The 22,023-nt window shown below is 44.8% G+C and overlaps 1 protein-coding gene across 4 annotated transcripts in view, besides 1 other annotated feature; it reads right to left on the bottom strand.

The window, feature by feature from the left end:
- Nucleotides 1-22,023, bottom strand: part of RBFOX1 (RNA binding fox-1 homolog 1) — a 2,473,620-nt gene that overhangs the window by 2,138,693 nt on the left and 312,904 nt on the right. The window lies entirely within an intron of this gene.
- Nucleotides 13,869-15,068: an enhancer, noted in NCBI's record as "P300/CBP strongly-dependent group 1 enhancer chr16:5609581-5610780 (GRCh37/hg19 assembly coordinates)". NCBI's record gives its function as "activates an origin of replication core promoter dependent on BRD2, BRD4, P300/CBP, MED14 and CDK7 cofactors, with strong dependence on P300/CBP, by STARR-seq in HCT116 cells {active_cell/tissue: HCT116}" and the evidence as "EXISTENCE:reporter gene assay evidence [ECO:0000049][PMID:35650434]".

Below are 22,023 nucleotides of genomic sequence, written 5' to 3'. Positions count from 1 at the left end.
ACCAGTCTGACCAACTTGGCGAAACCCCATCTCTACTAAAAATACAAACAAACAAACAAACAAAAAATTGCTGGGCGTGGTGGCAGGCACCGTAATCCCAGCTACTCGGGAGGCTGAGGCACGAGAATCACTTGAACCCGGGAGGTGGAGGTTGCAGTGAGCCAAGATTGTGCCACTGCACTCTAGCCTCGGCGACAGAGACACCGTCTTAAAAAAAAAAAAGAAAAAAAAGTAACAATTTTCCTAATTTATAAAACAAAAGCAGTTATTGAGATGTGGCAAGGCGGGCTTGGATGAGAATCAGTAACCTATACAGAGAGTTAGGAGGCTACAGACAGATACAGCACAATCAGATCCTCATTTTCCAGGCAAGTGCTGCCAGCAGCATTATCACTGCATCAAACTGTACGAAATCACGGCACTTTCTGAGCCTTTGTTTCTTCACTTGGAAAAAATGAAACCAATGAACTCGATGCCCTCATAGATCCGCATAGGCATAAAAATTCTGCCCTTCTAAGATTATACATCTGCCTATTGTACAAGTTACTCCACCTTCCACCAAAAGCAACAGATAAAAATCTCAAGAGCTCATCAGAAGAATGGCATCGGGGGCAAATCCATGAAGCTAAACATAAACAAGATATGGTTTCGGAACAGACTTGTTTCATTTTTTCTTTTTCTTCTTTTTCCTTTTGAGACAGGGTCTCATTCTGTTGCCCAGGTTGGAGTGCAGTGGCGCGATCACAGCTCACCTCAGCCTTGACCTCCCAGGCTCAGGTGATCCTCACACATCAGCCTCCCAAGTAGCTGGGACTACAGGCACACGCCACCACACCCAGCCTATTTTTTGTAGATATGATATCTTGCCATGTTGCCCAGGCTGGTCTTGAACTCGTGGGCTCCAGCCATCCTCCCACCTCGGCCTCCCAAAGTGTTGCAGTTATAGGTGTGAGCCACTGCGTCCAGCCGGTCTGTTTCTTAGAGAGGAGCCTTGGGATGCCTGGACGGGGAAAGGGGGGATGCACACTGGGTCCAGGACTGGGACCCAGGGAAGCAGACAAACAAGGCCTCCTTTAAAGGAAGCTCAGGTTGATTTCTGGTACATTCCGTGGAGCTGAACCTCTCAAAGTTGTCAGTACCCAAGTCACCTGCTGTGCATACTACAATACAATGTCTCAGGCTCTGCCTCCAGCGATTCCAATCCAGTATATTCAGGTGGGGGTCCAGGAATCTGCATTTTAAGAAGCACCCAAAAGTGATCATGACATAGGCAGGGGAAGAGGTGGAACAGCTCAGGTCAAAGCAGTGATGAGAAAGCTGGAGAAGAACCACCTTTGTGGCCTTCACCTCCCACCCGAGGCCGTGGGGAAGGGACAGCGTCCCCACCAGCAGCCAATGAAACGTGGACACTCCCTTTTTGCATTGCTCACACCTGATGCCTGGAGTCAACCCTAACAGTCTTCCTCCAAACCTCCAATCTTCATTATGTCCTCCCAACTTGAGTTTCATAACAGAACCAGAACCTCCCAATTCTCGTCATCTCCATCCCACCATCCGATCCAGGGCACCATCATTACGACAACTGCCTAAATGTCCTCCCTGCCCCTGCCCCATATGGCCCTCTGTACATGCAGTGGCTGGGGCAGCCTTCATCAAAGGTCAGGTCACGCCATTCTTCCACTGAAAACCCTTCAATCACCCCCCAGTCTCCCTCAGAGAAAATGCCTTCTGTCCCCGTCTGCCCTGGCTCCCACCATTACCTGTCTGGCCTCAACCCTGAGTACCTTTGCCTTTGCTCATTCTATTCCTACATAGTCCACTGCACTTCTTCCTCCTTCTGCCCCATCCCGATTGCCCTAAATATCCACAGAGTACATTCCCTCACCTCTTTATGTCTTGGCTCAAATATTATCTCTGTGAGGCTTTGTTTGACCACCTTTTGTAAAATGGCCAACCCTACTCTTCAAGGATTCCTCTCTCCCCTGCAGATTTTCTCCATTACACTATTTCACAGATTCTCTCTTCCCGCTGCACAGATCAGGGGTTCTCAACCTCAGGTGATTTTGACTACCAGGGACCATTTGGCAATGCCTGGAGAGATTCTGGTTGTCATGACTGGGGAAGAAGATGCTGCCATGTATCCAGTGAGTAGAGACCTAGGATGCTGTCAAGCATCCTTCCACGTACAGAAGAGCCTCCCACAACAAAGTGACCCAAAATGTTAACAGCGCCAAGATTGAGAAATCCTGCCACAGAATATACTGTTAGTGGCCTCAGGGATTTTTGTCTGCTGTGTTCATTGCCATGGACTCACTGCCTAGAAAAGCATCAGGAACATGGTATGCACTCAATAAATACTGTTCAAAGATAAGAATGAAGAGATAAATGGCTGGATGCTTCCCAGAAAGCCTGGAGAGCTTCTGAGCCACAGAAGTATAAGTCTCCCTTATCTGATCCAGGACAGTGTCCATAAAGGGCTTCTATGGCTCCACGGACCACCTAGATTAAGCCATTCCATTCCTAACAAATCATGTATTTAAGGGACCACAAGGGAAAGAGCAAACACCTGAGATGTGCTGCAGAGCTTGTTCTATGTCAGGAGGGCTTCTTGTGTTCCTCTTTGCAGTGTGTCTAATGGAGAATAGAGGAGGCTGGTCTCCTGGGGCCCCACATAAGAAAAGGTCCATTATCTTAATTATGAAAGACAAAGATGGGCCGGGCACAGTGGCTCACGCCTCTAACCCCAGCACTTTGGTGCTACGGACCTTGGTGGACTGAACAAAAGAGGATGAATGCAGAAATAAAGACAAAGACAAAAGACTATATTTGGAAGAAGAGGTAAGGGGGCTCCTTGCTTCTAGTGAACAAGGACCCTGAGCTTCTAGCTCCCTTCGTATTTATTGAGTAAAAGAGATAGCGAGGAGGAGGTGGTTGTCAGTCAGCTGCTTGACTCGGTGCAGGCCTGCATGACTGCATTCTTTGAACAGTAGTCTCCAGATGTTCCAGTAGATAACCTCAAGAAGCATGGCGCCAGGAAGTGACTGCACTCAGCATATCTTCTGGCGGTGGGCGCAGATGTGAGTTCATGATAAACAGTTTGTTGTTTGATGGTACAGCCTTCAGTGGAATGCTGAGTTGGCCACGACCCTCAGGCCTTTGGCTCTCTATACTTTGGGAGGTCCAGGCGGGCAGATCACTTGAGGTCAGGAGTTTGAGACCAGCGTGGCCAACAGGGTGAAACCCCATCTCTACTAAAAAAAACAGCTGGGCGTGGTGGTGTGCACCTGTAATCCCAGCTACTTGGGAGGCTGAGGCAGTAAAATCACTTGAACCCAGGAAGTGGAGGCTGCAGTGAGCTGAGATCACAACACTGCACTCCAGCCTGGGTGACACAGTGTGACTCCATCTCAAAAAAAAAAAAAAAAAAAAAAAGTCAAAGATGGGTCACTTCACTACCAGGGGACAAGGGAGTAAGAGAGTTACAAGGTTTCTGTCTCATGACTCTGACTGTAGACATGGGTAGAATTACATGAAGGGCTGGGGGAGTGATCAGGGGATCTTCAGTGAACAGACATCAAAAACAACTAAAGAAAAGAAATCTCACCAGCAAAGATCCAAGAGATTGTGTATATGAGAGCTGAATATTATTTTGAGAAGAAAATAAAATAGGCAATACTAAGAATAAAATCCCCTTCTAGCTAATATCAAACTCAGCATCTGGACCTTTTACTCACTGTCTTATTTCTCTAAAGATCTCCAAGTAACTTAATAAGTGTAATCTATGAAATGCTTTATTTTTTTTTTTTTTGAGACAGAGTTTCACTCTGTTGCCCAGACTGGAGTACGGTGGTGCAATCTCAGCTCACTACAACCTCGATCTCCCGGGTTCAAGCAATTCTCATGCCTCAGCCTCCCGAGTAACTGGGATTACAGGTGCGCACCAACAAGCCCAGCTAATTTTTGTACTTTTAGTAGAGACGAGGTTTCATCATGTTGGCAAGGCTGGTCTCAAACTCCTGACCTCAGGTGATCCTTCTTCCTTGGCCTCCCAAAGTGCTGGGATTACAGGCGTGAACCACCACATCCAACCCGAAATGCTTGTAATGCCCAAGATTCGTTTGTGCATCAGAGGCTGACCTGACCTGACCAGCTGTTAAGCACCCAGAATGCTCAAATGGCTACAACTTATCAAATGCTTGCCAGGGACCTAAGCATTCTAAGGACTGTCAGGTCCTAACTAACATGAATGAGTCCCATACACTAACTCCTATTCAAACCTCACAACAACCCTTATAGGGTTATTGATCATTTGGCCCATTTTATGGATGAGTGAATGGAGGTTCAGGGAACACAGCTTGCAAATGACAAAAACAGGATTTGAACCCATACCTTCCAGTACAAACCCATCATGTGTGCTATGTGCAAACCCCTGCTGTATGTACTTTGAGTTAGAAGAGGAAAAAAAAGAGAGAGTGAGCACATAAGGAAGAACCAACAATAAACCTCCGAATATTTGGTCACCTACTTATCAGGTGTGGAAGACTCACCCAGGCTGTGACACTGTGTGTATTTCCATGTTTATAAAATGCTCTTCTGTAAATGTCACTGGGTGTTGTTGCCACGAAAGGGCTGATAAAGTCTAAACTCCACTCCTAATGTGAAAATCTTTAGTTAGATGCCGAGTTCCCATCATTATGGGTTTTTAATCTTTATGATATCTGCAATATGACTGACATTACGTCTTGTTCTTTGACTAGGATCTTCTTATGTCGCAGACAGAACAAGATGAACCCTAAACTATCCAAAGAGGAAGACCATGTCAAGAAAGGAAGAGGAGAGAAATAACCCTTATGTCATATTCCCACGGCAGGATGTCCATCAGAAAGATCAGATGGAGGGGTCATGAGGAAAGGAAAAGGGGGAACTCGTCAACTGAATACTCCCCACTCTACCAAGCTGAGTGGTTAAGAGAAATGGCTTTGGAGTTAGACTCCTGGTTCCACCATCTAATTGACTTTAGGGACTTTATTTTATCTCTCTCTAAATCTCAGCTTCCTCATCTGTGAAATGGGGATGGTATGTATCCACCGCATAGATCTATTCTGAGAATCGAATGAGATGATGAGCTGAATTTCCTAGCACAGTGGCCAGAACATAGAGAGTACTCCAAAAAGAAGAAGAAAAAAAAAAAAAAAAAAAAAAAAAAAAAGGTTACTTCTTATCATTAACCCTTACCAAATGTCTGAAAAGAGCATCATACATTCTGTTTCACAGAGAAGTAATCAGAGCGTTAGCCAGTGGAAGTGATTTGCCTGAGGTGAGAGAAAATCAGAACCAAGCTTCAAATTTGTCTTTTTTCAAAGCCCCTCTGCTGACTCCTCCAACATCTACACCGGGGTTGGTCAGTCCCTTGGAGACATTTTACCCGGCTCCACCAATGCCCTGACTTTAGGAGAGAGGTGTCCACCCCACGTGAAGACACATACAGAACCAATGTCAGCCGGGCATGGTGGCTCACGCCTGTAATCCCAGCACTTTGGGAGACCAAGGCGGGCGGATCATGAGGTCAGGAGTTCGAGACCAACCTGACCAATATGATGAAACCCTGCCTCTACCAAAAAAAAAAAAAAAATACAAAAATTAGCCGGGCGTGGTGGCATGTGCCTGTAATATCAGCTACTCAGGAGGCTGAGGCAGGAGAATCACTTGAACCCAGCGGGCGGAGGTTGCAGTGATCTGAGATCGCGTCACTGCACTCCAACCTGGGCAACAGAGCAAGACTCCATCTCAACAACAACAACAAAAAGAACCGATGTCATGATTTCCCAAGCCAGGTTGAGTCATTTGGTGGGAGGAGTGAAAAAACAAATGTTTTCAAAACTGACTTCAAACTTCAAAGCATGGATTCTTAAGACCATCGTGGGGCAAATCTGAGAGCAGAAGAAGAATACGGATGAGAGAGAAAGCCCATGCTGGCATAGGTGGACAAGGAACTGCAGGAAAACATGGAATTTATCAAATTATGCCAGCCCACTGCAGACAACAGAAGACAGAGTGATGAGTGTCACGCATCCTCACATCCCTGAGTGCCTAGCTCTCAAATTCCAAACCCCTGCGCGCTTATCTTGGTGACCTTTACGCTGCTCTCTGCTCCATCTTGACGAACACTGATGGTGAAATTACCAAAAAATACAGGAAAGGGGGAAAGAGAAGGGGCTTTGAGGGAAGGGATCACAGATTATACGATGTCCAATTATAGACATCCCATCAGGTATTAAGCAAGGAGGGAAGAGGAGGATCACGTGTCACAGGGAGGTCTTGGACTATAAGTGAAGCAAGAGATCACAGGGAATACACAGCTTGGGCAAAGGCAAGGAGGTGGGACTGTGCCACGTGCACAGAGAATGCAGCACAGGCCCCCATACGCTGCAACCTGAAGTGCAGTGTGGTGGGGATTCGAGGAAGGAGAGGGCACAGGGGAAGGCTGGAGACATTTGAATGCAATGCTGAGTACTTCAGATCTCATTGTTTAGCAGTGAGTAGCCAGCGAAGGTTTGTGAGCTAGAGAAGGATGGGATCAGATCTGTGTTTTAGTGAAAGTGCATCACTGGGTACTGGTGTCAGGCTATAGAGCAGATCAGTTCAGAGTTTTCATGGTGGAATTCAGAGGACACTGAGTTCTAATCCCAGCCCCTCTGCCCCACTACTGTGCAATTTTGAGCCAGTTACTTACCTTCTCTAAGCCTCAGTGTCCTCAAACATAAAATGGGGTAACAACCCTACTTCCTTAATAAGAAAGTCGTGGGGATTAACGAATATAATGATCAGGACGTGCTTGGCAAGATATCTGGCCCATCAACCTAATCAGTATAGGTGACGGTGACGACAATGATGATGGTAATGACAATGTTGATGGTGGCAGTGAGGATGATGTCAGCAATGACAGTAATCTTGTCTAAACATAGACACAGCCCTTCCATCTAGGAGGCTTTTTTTTTTTTTTTTTTTTTTTGCCTATAACCTGAATACCCCCCCACTATGGTTTAAGCTGGCTTCTCCTCCATTCACAGACATAGAAATTAGCCCTGTTTCTAATGTAAAGCCTAGTACAAAAAACCTGCACCACTGCTGCCTCACCCTATGACCAGGGGCAGGTGGTGACCCGCTGGATGCTTCATGCTTCCCAGTCTGTAAAGTGGAGATTATACGGCTACTCATCTACCCAGAGAGATTGGCTGTGTTCAGACTTATTACTATACTTAAGAGTGAGCTTGGAACATTGTACAGAATGATACACGTTAGCTAGTAACTAATATTCACCACTTAACCTGACCAAAGTGCTGCAACACACAGCCACTGCAAAGTGACGCAGTCCTGAGCTGCACGTGTCCACATGGGATATCCACACAGGATACGTCCCACATGTCTGCAAGGCCATGGGCTGTGGGATACAGCTAAATGGTGCATCTTTCTCTCCTGGGCACCGGCTTTATTTGTTTCCCTCGGTTGTTCACAAGGCCTTTCTGTTTCAACATCTCCAATTCATCTGAGGGTCTTTGTGTGGCATTTCCAGCCCCACTAATTGTGAGGCTTAGGACCTGAGGCAGAAAAACCAAATGTCTTTTTCTGGTTAAAGTGAGAACAGAAATGTGTTAGGGTATTTGGACTCCCAGCCGGTGAAGCCACTTCATTCTGATGAATTGCGACACATGGAAATCAATCCAGGTCACCTAAAACAACTTGGTATGTGGTGTCCAGACCAGTCACTGTTAATTTATTATGGGCTATTTGATTAAATACACAACAAGGGAGTGAGTCGATGCGGTGTGTCTGTAGGTGAATTGTCTCGTGGCTCATTTGTGAATGTATCTCTAATACTCAACAAAAATCATTCCAAAGCATTCGAAAGCTCTCTAGGTAGTTTGTCCATATTAGGATATATCTATATATGTGTATATATATATACACATATATACACACATATACATATATACACATATATACACACATATACACATATATACATACATATACATATATACACATATATACACACATATATACATATATATATATATAACTACTTTCCTGAAATCTCTGGGAGATGGAGCAAGTTACAAGAAAAATCAGCCAATATCACGAAACTGACCAAAGACAAAATATAACAACCCGAGGGAGCGGGTTCTACACATTAAACTCCACTTCCAAAGTCTCTTTTTCCAACCATCCATCTACGGTCAATTCCATCACATTTAATATTCTCTATGTACCGTGCCACCATTTGCAGCCCGATGTTTGTGTGATTATACATCAACGGTCTATCTTCCGACAGTGGAATGCCGTTACAGTGCTGACATAAGCCAGCCCAACTATGTTAATACATGAACCCTCAGCAGAAAAACAGACAGTGACTGGGAAGGAGGAGACCAAGTGTGGTCGGATTCACATCCCCATTGTATTCATCCATTTTCATGCTGCTGATAAAGACATGCCCGAGACTGGGTAAATTATAAAGAAAAAAAGGTTTAATGGACTCCCAGTTCCACATGGCTGGGGAGGCCTCATAATCATGGCGAAAGGCGAAAGTCACATCTCATATGGCAAAGAGAATGAAAGCCAAGAGAAAGGGGTTTCCTCTTATAAAATCATCAGATCTCAGGAGACTTATTCACTACCATGAGAACACTATGGGGGAAACTGCCCCCCATGCTTCAATTATCTCCCACCGGGTCCCTCCCACAACACATGGGAATTATGGGAGCTACAATTCAAGATGAGACATGGGTAGGGACGCAGCCAAACCATATCACCCACCTACCCTTAGGAGCCTCTCTTATTTCCCATGTCCACATAAAACTAGCCTCAAGTAGACTGGCTACTAGAAAATATCTCAGGATGGCTACAGAGGAGATTCCAGGAAAGCTTTACTCTACTGCCTTCACAGGTTATCATAAAAGAGGGAAAACGACTTGCAAATTATTTATTTATTTATTTATTTATTTATTTATTTATTTATTTATGTAAGGCAGAGTTTCGCTCTTATTGCCCAGGCTGGAGTACAGTGGCACGATCTCAGCTCACCACGAACTCCGCCTCCCGGGTTCAAGTGATTCTCCTGCCTCAGCCTCCCAAGTAGCTGGGATTATACGCAGGTGCCACCATGCCCAGCTAATTTTGTATTTTTAGTAGACACAGGCTTTCTCTATGTTGGTCAGGCTGCTTTTGAACTCCCAACCTCAGGTGATCTGCCCATCTCAGCCTCCCAAAATGATGGGATTACAGGAGTGAGCCACTGCGCCCGGCCATGACTTGCAAATTCTAATGTAGTGGTATGTGCACATGCATGCACATGAACACACGCACGCACGTGCACACACGCACACACACACACCAGTTTTCCTTCTGAAATCTGGAATATCATGGAGATAGCTTAGCAAAAGGTAAGGAAAAGGCACCTTATTAGTTCTGAACCCTGGTGCTTTGGATGATCCAAGCCATGTCTGCCACTTAGTATCCCACTGAGGCTGCAGCCATGGTAACAAACCCCACGTGTTCCCATTTTCTTGACATCCTCACTGTCTCCTGCTCACCTGTGATGGACAGAACAACTGTTGTCATGTTTTAGCTAAACAATGTGAGTGGCTAGGGCTCTTTGAAGTGCCATCCCTCATCCAGTAGGAACTAAAAAACCAATCCATGTAAGAAACTACACGTGGCTGCCAAGGCTGAGGTGTGTTCCACCGGCATCTCACCCGAGGGACAGCTGTCTCCACCTCCTCATCCAAGAGGTGAGATGCCCAGCCACGATGATGGCATCCACCAGAGAAGTGCTGGAGAACCGTGAAAACTGGGTTGTTCTTCTAGGACCCACTGCCTAGAAGACCATGATGAACTTGATATGCACTCAATAAATACTGTTCAAAGATAAGAATGAATAAATAAATGCCTGGATGCTTGCCAGAAAGCCTGGAGAGGTTCCAAGTCACATAGGTATGAGTCTCCCTCATCTGATACAGGACAGACTCCAAAAAGAGATGCTACAGCTCCAAAGACCACACAGATTAAGCCATTCCATTCCCAGCAAATAAGGTTTTAAGTGACCGCAAGGGAAAGGGTACACACCTGACACGTGTTATGAAACTTGTTCTATGTCAGGAGGGTTTCTTATTAGACCAAAAAAATAAATGAATGGGAGAGAAAGAGATAATCCAAGAAGACGGTAGAAGGACAAATTCAGTGGGAGGAGACAAAAATTCAACCCAGAAAGACAACATCATCAAATGGCAGAAGGTGAAAGAAAATGACAGAAGAGTAAAGAAACTCTCTCCTCAATTGGGTGTGGTGGTTCATGCCTGTAATCCCAGCACTTTAGGAGTGTGAGGCAGGTGGATTACCTGAGGTCAGGAGTTCAAGACCAGCCTGGCCAACACAGTGAAACCCTGTCCCTACTAAAAAAAAAAATACAAAAATTAGCCAGGCATGGTGGTGCGGACCATAATCTCAGCTATCTGGATGCTGAGGCAGGAGAATCGCTTGAACCTGGGAGGTGGAGGTTGAAGTGAGCTGAGATCGCACCACTGCACTCCAGCCTGGGTGACAGAGCAAGACTCAGTCTAAAAATAAAAAAATTTTTTAAAAAAACTCTCTCCTACACACTGAGTACTTGGAGCAGTAGATAAAAATGACGTGGTTCCTAACCACATCTAGGTCATAGTCTCATGTCAGTGACAGACAAGAAACTTAAGAAAATAAATGATGGTAACAGACAGCAGGTTAGTGGTTACCAACAGCTAGAGATGGGAAGAAGAAATGGGATGTGGCTGCTAAAAGGTACAAGGTTACTTTGGGGGTGATGAAAATGTTCCAAAATATGCTATAGTGCTCATTGCACAACTCTGTGAATATATGAGAAGCCACTGAATTGTACACCTTAAATGGAGGAATTGTATATCATATGAATTATATATCAATAAAGCTGTAATTTTAAAAAACTACTATCATCATATTATAAGGCAGGATTTCAGGGCTGGTCAACTACTTATTGAAAGAATCAAGCTTCAGCACAACTCAACAGCATCAAATTTGATGACCAAGGTGCGTTAACTGTAAAATGTTTCCTGAAGTTAAACTACCAGATGGTTTATATTTAGTTTTGGTGTACTTTATTCTCTCTGGGTTATTTCAGAAAATAAAATATTCCAGAAAACTATTATTTCAACAGTTTAAGCATTGTAGTTCAGTAGATAACGATACCATCAGCAAAGATGAGGATATGTGACTCCTTCGCTTTATATTTGGAGGACAGACAGTTAGTTCACCTAGGAGGTGTTTTGAATCAGTGAAATGGAAATGGAAATGAACATGGGTCAGGAGATGCAATAATACAATAATACAGCCTCAGCTGGGCGCGGTGGCTCACGCCTGTAATCCCAACACTTTGGGAGGCCAAGGCAGGCAGATCACCTGATGTCAGGAGTTCAAGACCAGCCTGACCAACATGGTGAAACCCCGTCTCTACAAAAATGCAAAAATTAGCCAGACATGGTGGCGGGTGCCTGTAAGCCCAGCTACTCAGGAGGCTGAAGCAGAACAATCACTTGAACCTGGGAGGCAGAGGTTGCAGTGAGCCAAGATTATACCACTGCACTCCAGCCTGGGTGACAAAGCGAGACTCCATTTCAATAATAATAATAATACAGCCCTATTTTACATAGTTTGGGATTCCAAGACCTCATCTGCATATTCCTCCTGAGACAGCGGCAGTATGAAGCCAATATCAATATCACAGGTTTATGGTTAGCAGATAGTTTGCCTAAAGGTAGTTCCTCTTGTAAAATCCCAAAGGGCTCATCAGAAAATGGCAGAGAATTTTTCACTTTTAATTCTTGAAACGATTGAACAGATCAGAAAAAAACAAAAATATAGGACAGAGAGGCACCCATACCAGAAGCAGGGGAATGTGGCCAGATGCCTACTGGACCAGCTCTCTTGCACTCAGAACCTTAAGGAAGACTCCCTAGCACTTACAAGTTGGAGGAACCCCATTTCTATCCTAGAAAACTGAGGCCAGTTCTGCCATAGTGGGTAATCCTCTGATCCCAAGACCAACCCCTGGGGTCTTCCTGTCTCCCCCAGGTCCTCCCCCTTCTTCTCCTCCTGGCCCTGGAGAATTGCTCTATACATCCTGGGTATCTCACTGCAGCCCTGGCCCCAGCATCTGCCCTCAGAGCCCTGATCTAACACATAACCAAAAGTGACAGGACCAAGAGGTTCTTCACTGAATCCTGACCCCAGCAGTTCCAATATCTAGGAAACAGGCAGCTTTCTCGGGCAGCTGTCTGACTTCTAAGTAGGACTGCTGGAGGCTCTGGGTCCTACTTGACATATAACTGCAGACCTCCAATTTCCACACTTTGCCACGGATGGTGTCCTCGGAAATAAACTTGGATGGAGCAGAAATAAATCTGTTCTATCAAATCTTTCTTTTTCCTGAATGATGAGAGGTCATTCTAACCTTGCCATGAGCTCAGGAAGAGCTTTGCCTTTAAGCTAGAGACAAAATGAGTGCCGAGATTTCAAAGCGTCTCACCCTGGAAATAAAAAACAGCTGACAAAAGACAAGTTTCCCTGTGTCTTCACACCCTCTAGCACCATATTGGATGAGCGAATAAATTAACCAATGAATGAACCGATGACAGGGGAAAAGAGGCCCTCGAAAGAATTATCTTGGGTGGACTCCATTTCTCAATGGATGGGATGCATTTGCAATAAAGCTTCTCATTAATTCCAGGGTCATGACCCTAAACTTAAATTGCAAAAGGAACCAAGACCATCGTCCTCAAGTAACTTCTGCTAAAATACATCTCAGGGTAGAACAAGTGACCCTCTCACCCCAAAAGAAGGGAGCAGATTGCCCAGTAAGTCCTGGGGACCCTCCTGGAGATAAGATAATTAAAAGAATCCCTAGGGTAAAGAGCATTAAGTCATATTATTAATAATAATCATCATATAAAGGTCTAGTATTAAAACAGGATTGGAAATGTATTTAAAACCTTATATCGTCACCCCTTCCCTGGTGTCTAATAGGGCCTGACTTTTGCATAATGGCTTTCTTTTGTACATTTTCTTCCCAGCTAATTAAGTTAGAATGACTGTTAAACAGACCTGCTTCCAGAAGTGTCTATAAGGCAGGAAAGAAAGAGAATGTCTGTGTCCCACTAACTGGTATTCAAAATACAGAATTACAAATTTGGGGGTTTTTAAAGAAAAAAAAAATGAAGCTATAGGTCCCCTTTTTAGCCAAGTTTGCTGACACCTAATTATAAGTATCTGAAATACATATTGATTCCAACTAATTATAGGTCCTCATTCAATTTTTTTTAAAGAAAGTTGGTTTTAACCATGGGCCATAATAGAGTCTGCTCATATTTCTTGGAAATATTAATGTGCAAGACCCCCTCCCATGGATGAAGGATCAGGCAGCAAGCCATGTCTACCCATTTTCCCACCCCTCCTGCCCTGAGGATGGACATAGTCACAGTGTTGTACTGGGAGGAAGACACAACAGAGGGAATCCATTTGGGAATTGATAAAACCCAAAGTTGCAATAAAATCTTTAGGAAATTCCTTTTCTTTGCATGAGGTTTAGTCCTGGCATTAACCATTTCTCCTGCCACAAGGGTGTGCCAGGTAGCTAATGAAATCTCCTGTTACCTGCTAGCCAAAACGCCTCCATACTGCAATGCACATCACAGCAGGACCTAGGCACCAGGGCTGCCTTCAGAGGCAGAGTGTCAAGGAGGATGGGTGGACAGTGTGAAATGCCACAAGGAGGATAAAAGGACTGCAAAGTATATGTTAGATTTGGCAGCATGGAGCTCATAGGTATCTTGTCCAGAGAAGTCCAATAGCAGGTCCAAGAGTCAAACTTTGGTAGGTTAAGAAAAAAGATGTGGAGCACAGACTACGCTGAGATGTTTGGATAAAAATGAAGGAATAAAAGCATAAGGTGAAAAATCATTTATTCAATAAATACATACTGCACACCCACCAAAAATAGGCACCACATTTGACCTTGTACAGTGATGCACAGATGACAGGAGATTCAAACAGACAAAGGAATCCAGGGGCCTTGCCCTCCTAGAGTTTACAGTCTACAGAGAAATAAAATACATAAATGGATGATTGCAGTGCAGTGTAATAACACCGGAGTGCGGGGAGAAGCCATCTCAAACTTGGGGAGTCAGGTTATCCTTCCTGCAGGAGGTGATTTAGTGCTTCCTGGAGGAAGTAATTCAATGGTTCCTAGAGGAGGTGACTAAGTGCTTCCTGGAGGAAGTGACTAAGTGCTTCCTGGAGGAGGTGACTAAGTGCTTCCTGGAGGAGGTGACTAAGTGCTTTCTGGAGGAAGTGACATATGAGCTGAGAATCTAAAGATGCCCAGGAGTTAGCAAGCAAGGTATTTCACAAAGTGTGTGCACAAGGGAAAGAGACTGTCAGGCATGTGCAAATACTCAGAGGAAAGAGAAGAAATTTATTCTATAAATAATGAATATGTGTTGGCCATTTTCATAAGCACTGTTGACACTCTGGGAATATAGCAATAGGTTATAAGACAGACAAGAGAACTAAATTCACTCGTTTTTCATGCTGGTTAGGGAGACGGATAGAATATCAACAAGATCATCCAGATAAAAACAGATCCTGTTAAGAAAGCCCCAAAGTGGAGGGTGAGGAAGAATAAAGGATCTCAGGATGGCTGGAGTACAGCACGCTAGAGTTAAGGGTATGATGTGAGCTTGCAGAAGTAGGCAGGGGCTAGTCCGTGCACATCCTGGAAGCAGTAAGAAGTCCCTGGGCAGATGTTAAAAGCAAGATGAGGGGAGTGGTTATCACTGAAGACTTTTTAACGTTGCACAAGACAGAATGACCTAGGAAGAAAGAGATTTGGGAAGTTTATTTACATTCCAAGGGGAAAGAGGAGAAAATTGATAGAGCAACTTCCAAGAAAAGAGTGGTATCAAGGTCCCAGGTGGAGGGGCGCCTTTAGGGCAGGGGAACCAGGCCAGGTTCAAGGAAGGAGGTGTGGATCAATCTCCCCTGGTCCATGTGGCCAAGGCCCGATCCTGACAGGCCTTCCCCATTGTGTGGGCTTCATTTGCCTGCAAAAACACTGTAGCCTTGTTCGGCTTGTTTTGACAGTATGTAAATAAGTCTATTTCCTCATGTATTAGCCTATTAGCTGCCATATTTCAGATCTGAGGATCACAGCCACACCAGATTACAAAACAAATGGCTTCCACATCAATGTTTACTATGATCCTTAAGATGTACGTCATGGAATTTATAAATCAAAAAATATACAAACCATGCTTAAACAAACCAAGAACCAGAACAGGGGTACGCCATTGCCCATGCTGGGTGGCAAAGTACTCTTCCAGTTTTCTCTACACTTGACTTTTTTTTTTTTTTTTTTTTTTTTTGCCTGGGGGGGTTCTCCTAGCTATATAAACCCCTTTTGCTACTATGGAGGAGCAAGACAAAAACTGATCACATATCAAAATCTCAGGTTTCCTCAGGCAAACCCCCCCAGCCCAGCTCTGTACCCACGTGAGCATAACTGCTATGGTTTCAGGGTATTTCAAAAAGTGTGAGAGTGTGGGATCACCTCCCTCTGACCCACCTGGCATGCCTCACACATCTAGCTCAAGGCTTGTGGATTCCATATCTAAGGGGTGGTCCCAGACACTGCACATTTTAACAAGTTCTCCAGGTGTCTCTCTTGTACGTGGACCTTTGAGAACTCCTGCTCTAGTTTTCTGACACCTTTGCATGCTCATGATGCATTGAGTGAATCCAAATTACACACCTTGATCTGAATTGGGGGCTTTGGCCAGAAAGCTACAAAGACAGACCCTCTGCACTCTGAGGGGGCTGACAGTCTCAGGGTCCCACCCCACACAAGACTGAGACGATGGCAGGAACAGAGCCATGGAGCTTGCTCAAGACTGAAACTATTCTCAGTGGCCATGTTCAGAATCCCCTTGACAAGGAAAGGAAAGGGACCAATTCAGATTATCTACTTTGTACCAGGCCTTTGTAAGGATCTCAGGAGTGTCTCTGGTCACTAAGGTAGTTTGTACAGGGTACAAGTGAAATGGGAGAGTTCCCATATCCCCCTGGCAGGATGTGTGACAGGGCTGTGGCTCGCTCCTTCAGTCTCCTCGATGCTCAGACCTCTAAGGGGAACTTGCAGATGGGTAGGTGGTGAGGACATGAGGACCGCTTTTGGGCTCTGCCTCCACAGCTGCATCTAGGGTTGGGTGTCTAAGAACTCCCAAAGCCCAGTAGGCGTGTGTTACAGTGTGCTCTTTCAGCTCTGCATGCTGCAGACAGCTTGTGTGTTAATCAGCTCAACAGACCCTCGGCCTTATCACAAGGGCAGGGGGGCTAGTGTGACAGCCTTCTGTATCCCAAGTTCTCGCCCAGCATACCGGAAGAATTGGATCACACCTGGGCTGGGAGGATGAGTACAAGGTATTATTGAGTGATGGGAGTGGCTCTCAGAAAGATGGATGGGGAGCTGGAAGCGGGGGATAGAGTGGGAAGGCAGTCCTCCCCCGGAGTTGGGCCGCCCAGTGGCGAGTCTCTGACCACCACCAGCTGAACTCCCCTTGGCATCCAGACATGCTTACTCTTCTCTCTTTCTCTGCCACGTTGTTCCACTGTCATTGTTCTGGTTCTGACCTTCAGCTGTTTGTCGGTGTGGCCACTAAGGTCTTGAGTTTATACGGGGCCAGGACGAGGGGCATGGCAGGCCAAAAGGCAACTTCTATGGGTGTGAAAACAGAAATGCCTGTCCTCACTTACAGCCATGGGTCTTCAGGTTTGGGGGTGGGGCCTTTGCCCCACCTGGGTACCACCCTCTTCTACCAAGTAGTTCCCTGTTCCCTGTCTGCACCACAAGCCTACAAGTGTTTCTAAGAACTAGATCACACAATGCCTCAGGGCCTTTGCACATGCTTTCCCAGCTCTTTCTCCCACACTTTGCATGTCTGCTTCCTTCTCATGCTTTGGTTTTCAACTAAAAGTTGCCTTCCTGGAGTGATCCCTGCTCCCCATCACAGTCACCCCTCTGATACCCCTTACCGCAAGCACCCCACCTGTTTCGTCATATTATGCATCAAAATGTATATTCAGTTTTGTTACCCTGTTTATTATCTCTCTATAAGCTTCATATGGGGACCCAATGCCCATGTGCTTGACTCCCATTGTACCTCTCAAATGTCTGCCTTGCACAGTGCCAGACAGACAGCAGGAACGCAAACAACCTTTCAGAAATTTTTATTTATTTATTTATTTATTTATTTATTTATTTATTTATTTATTGAGATGGAGTCTCACTCTGTCACCCCGGCTGGAGTGCAGTGGCGCAATCCCGGCTCACTGCAACCTCTGCCTCCTGGGTTCAAACGACTTTCCTGCCTCAGCCTCCTGAGTAGCTGGGACTACAGGTGCCTGCCACCACGCCCAGCTAATTTTTTTGTATTCTTGGTAGAGATGGGGTTTCACTGTGTTAACTAGGATGGCCTTGATCTCCTGACCTCATGATCCGCCTGCCTCAGCCTCCCAAAGTGCTGGGATTACAGGCATGAGCCACCAAGTTCAGTCCCAGAGAATTTTAAAAGTTCAAATTAACATGAGGAAATTCTAGCTTCAGCAAAGCTGAAGGAGTTTCTTGCCTGCAGAAATCCCCAGAGCCTATAAAATGGACATATAAACTGTGTGTCAATGACAGGGAAGTAATAGGGTACACAGTGGCCTGAAAATACTGTGGCCTCAAACTTATGTGGCCACAGAACAGTGTTTTGTTTTGTTTTCGTGGCATCTTTCTTTCCATGGGGACATGTCATGCATCTCATGTCCCAAGGAACATTCTTCAGAAAACATTGCTTCAAAGAGTATCACATGGAAGGTGCCCGAGGGTGAGAGTCAGTCTGCAGCCGCTGGTTCTCCCAAGAGGGAGAGGGTTGGCATCCTCTGCAGCTCAGCCAGCAACCCCAGTAAACATCTCCCCTCAAACTTCAGGCAGCCGTCTTGGAGAGCTGTCACTTCCTACTTACCAACAAGCATTGAGCATTTCTTTAAGTTTTAGAAAAAGCGGGGGGAAAAGATAAATACTTTCCCATTCTCTGAACTAATGTCAAATGACCTGGAAACGTTGCCTCTGGGAACTCAAGCCATAGAACAAACTAGCATTTCATCTTCCTCGGCTCACAGCTCAATTTCAGCAGCTGCCGGGGAGGGTAGGCAAGGCCCCACCAGAGCCAATCACGAATACCACCGTTTACACTGAGATCCCTTTGATAGCGCTTTCTACAGATGGCAAGCTTGGAATTAGCCTTAAAGCAAAGCAAAGCCTCATTAATATGACCAAGGCTCCTCTGCAGACCGAATGTATGTAACCGCAAGAGGGAAATGTGTTACTTAATTAACATGTGTGTTCATATTTCCTCAATATAAATTCTAACACGCTGGCTTAGGCATAAATCATAGCAGTAGAATACAGGGAAAGGGTGTTTTTTGGTGTCGTTGTTTGTCTTTGTTTGTTTGTTTGTTTGTTTTTTTGAGACAGAGTCTCACTCTCTTGCCCAGGCTGGAGTGCAATGGCATGACCTCAGCTCGCTGCAACCTCCACCTCCAGGGTTCAAGCGATTCTCCCGTCTCAGCCTCCCAAGTAACTGGGATTACAGACATGCACCACCACGACCGGCTAATTTTGTATTTTTAGTAGATATGGGGTTTTCCCATATTGGTGAGGCTCGTCTCGAACTCCCGACCTCAGGTGATCCGCCCACCTAGGCCTCCCAAAGTGCTGGGATTACAGGCATGAGCCACTGCACCCAGCCGAGGGAGAGGGTCTTTCAAATGAACCTGTCCAGACTTAGTGAAACACTTCCCCGTCTCTGCCCTCAATCCTCACTTCAACAGAGCTACACATAGGGCACATGTTCCAGATTATGGTAACTTTCACGGTCTCTCCAACTATAAGGTTGGTGCAAAAGTAATTGTGGTTTTGCCATTAAAAGTAATTGCAAGGCCCCGTGCAGTGGCTCATGCCTGTAATCCCAGCACTTTGGGAGGCAGAGGCAGGTGGATCACCTGAGGTCAGGAGTTCAAGACCAGCCTGGTCAAGATGGCGAAACCGCGTCTGTACTAAAAATACAAAAATTTGCCAGGCCTGGTGGCTCATGCCTGTAGTCCCAGCTACTCGGGAGGCTGAGGCAGAATTGCTTGAGCCCAGGAGGTGTAGGTTGCAGTCAGCTGAGATCACACCACTGCACTCCAATCTGAGCAACAAGAGTGAGACTCCATCTCAAAAATAATAAAAATAATAATAATAAAAGTAATTGCAAAAACCGCAATTACTTTTGCACCAACCTAATAGTTCCATTCTATCCACTGAATCAAATCCACCAACATCCATAGCGGAGGGTAGCTAGATGCAGGCAAGGGGGGCTCTTGCCCTGTACCCCGGGCTTTAGAGAGCCCCACATGTCACAAACACACAAAAGAGTACATTTATTAATTAAAGAAAACTTCTCTCTTCTGGGATTTGGTTGTCAGAGTGACCCAGTGCAGTCTGTGACCATAAACATCCACTCCTATGACTAACACCATTCAAGCCCCATGGAAATACAACTCTGCATCCTGCCCTTGAATCAGAAAGTGGTCACTTCTAATTGCACTCAAGGTCTGTAGGTTGTACCACTGCCCGTGACATTGGAGACAACTGCTCAGAAGGCAGGAAGAATGTGAGTAAGAAAAAAGACAAATGAATTAATTAACTTGTCAAATCCATCATCCACCAGTGTCAAGCATTCATTCCTTGCTTCTCTTTGTTGATCAATTCATAATCCCTGAGACGTTTGTGAATAGAGCCTTTGGTGTCTGGGAATAGGTTGCAATACTAACCAATTCATTTGTCTTAAATTTGTGTAAGTGCAGAATCACGGCCCCAAGATAGACATTACATTGGCCCCAAGATGGACATTGAATGCAAAACTGTGCATTTTCATTATAGAAATATACACTATCTGATTGAAGTTGCTAAAATTAAGTAAAAATGGTCAGCTTTATTAAAATGTTAATATACATTTTTATATGGTTTGTATTTTTCCATTTACTCTTAGATACTTTTTAATGTTTTAGAAGAACCTCTTTTGAAAATATAGAAAAATAATTTTAATTTTTTTATTTTTAAAACATATAACTTGCATTTTTTACAGAAATATACACCAGTTTTATAACTTTCGCATATAATTATTTTAGGTTTTATGCTTTTAGGTCATTATTGTCAATAGAATACATAGAAAAAGGCCAGGCATTGTGGCTCATGCCTGTAATCCCAGCACTTCCGGAGATCAACGTGGGCAGATCACTTGAGGTCAGGAGTTCTAGACCAGCCTGGCCAACACGGTAAAACCTCATCTCTACTAAAAATACAAAAATTAATCAGGCATGGTGGTGGCCACCTCTAATCCCAGCTACTCGGGAGGATTAAGGCAGGAGAATCACTTGAACCCAGGAGGCAGAGGTTGCAGTGAGCTGAGATCACGCCACTGCACTCCAGCCTGGGCAACAACAGCAAGACTCTGTCTCAAAAAAAAAAAAAAAAGAATACGTGTTATAAGAAAGTATTGATTATTATAAGACATGTCTGTTGTTTGCCAATCGTCCAGACATCTCTGATCCATCCACAGGGTACCCAGACATATGCAATAATAATTAAATTCAATCATGTAGGATATTTTGTTGACCTTTAATTATATAAAAACTCTATAGTAGTATACATGTTTTTTCAATATTGTGGTATGAGGTTTCACATGTATATACATAAATACACACATATATATACATATATATGTGTATATACACACATATATATACATATATATGTGTATATACACACATATATAGAACATTCTATCTGATGGTTTTAGCTTACTGCACAGTTTTAAAATATTCAGACATGGCTGGGCGTGGTGGCTCACGCCCATAATCCCAGCACTTTGGGAGGCTGAGACGGGCAGATCACGAAGTCAGGAGATTGAGACCATCCTGGCTAACACAGTGAAACCCTGTCTCTACTAAAAATACAAAAAATTAGCCAGGCGTGGTGGCGGGCGCCTGTAGTCCCAGCTACTCGGGAGGCTGAGGCGGGAGAATGGCATGAACCTGGGAGGCGGAGTGTGCAGTGAGCTGAGATTGTGCCACTGCACTCTGGCCCGGGTAAAAGAGTGAGACTCCATCTCAAAAAAAAAAAAAAATATTCAGACATATGGCATACACCTTACTTTTTTTATTCTTATACTTTAAGTTCTAGGGTACATGTGTACAAGGTGCAGGTTTGATACATAGGTATATATGTGCCATGTTGGTTTGCTGCCCCCATCAACTCATCATTCACATTAGGTATTTGTCCTAATGCTATCTCTCCCCCAGCCCGTCACCCCTCGACAGGCCCGGGTATGTGATGTTGCTCGCCCTGTGTCCAAGTGATCTCATTGTTCAATTCCCACCTATGAATGAGAACATGCGGTGTTTTGTTTTCTATCCTTGTGACAGTTTGCTGAGAATGATGGTTTCCAGCTTCATCCATGTCCCTGTAAAGGACATGGACTGATCCTTTTTATGGCTGCATAGTATTCCATACACCTTGCCTTTTGAATTCTTGCCCCAAGCTGTTGAGGACCTGGAGATGGGTATCAAGATGGGAACATGCTGACCTTCTCCCTTTTCCCTCGTTTCCCAAGGGCTGTATCTGCTCCGAGGCCTGGGGGTATGTTTGTTTAGCAGCAGGGACTTCATTATCTGACTGTGATCAGAGCAAAGGGAAGCCATTACTCACCACTGGGTCATGGGATCTTCCCGCTCAGAAGCACTGTAGAGGGAAGGCTGGCAGAATAGAGTTTCTCAATGTGAGTCGGTTTCCAATTCTATTTTACTGGCCAACTTCTCTAC

The sequence above is a fragment of the Homo sapiens genome, chromosome 16 (assembly GCF_000001405.40).
Source record: "Homo sapiens chromosome 16, GRCh38.p14 Primary Assembly".
NCBI classification, from domain to species: domain Eukaryota; kingdom Metazoa; phylum Chordata; class Mammalia; order Primates; family Hominidae; genus Homo; species Homo sapiens.
This window is presented reverse-complemented; position numbering and strand designations above follow the sequence as displayed.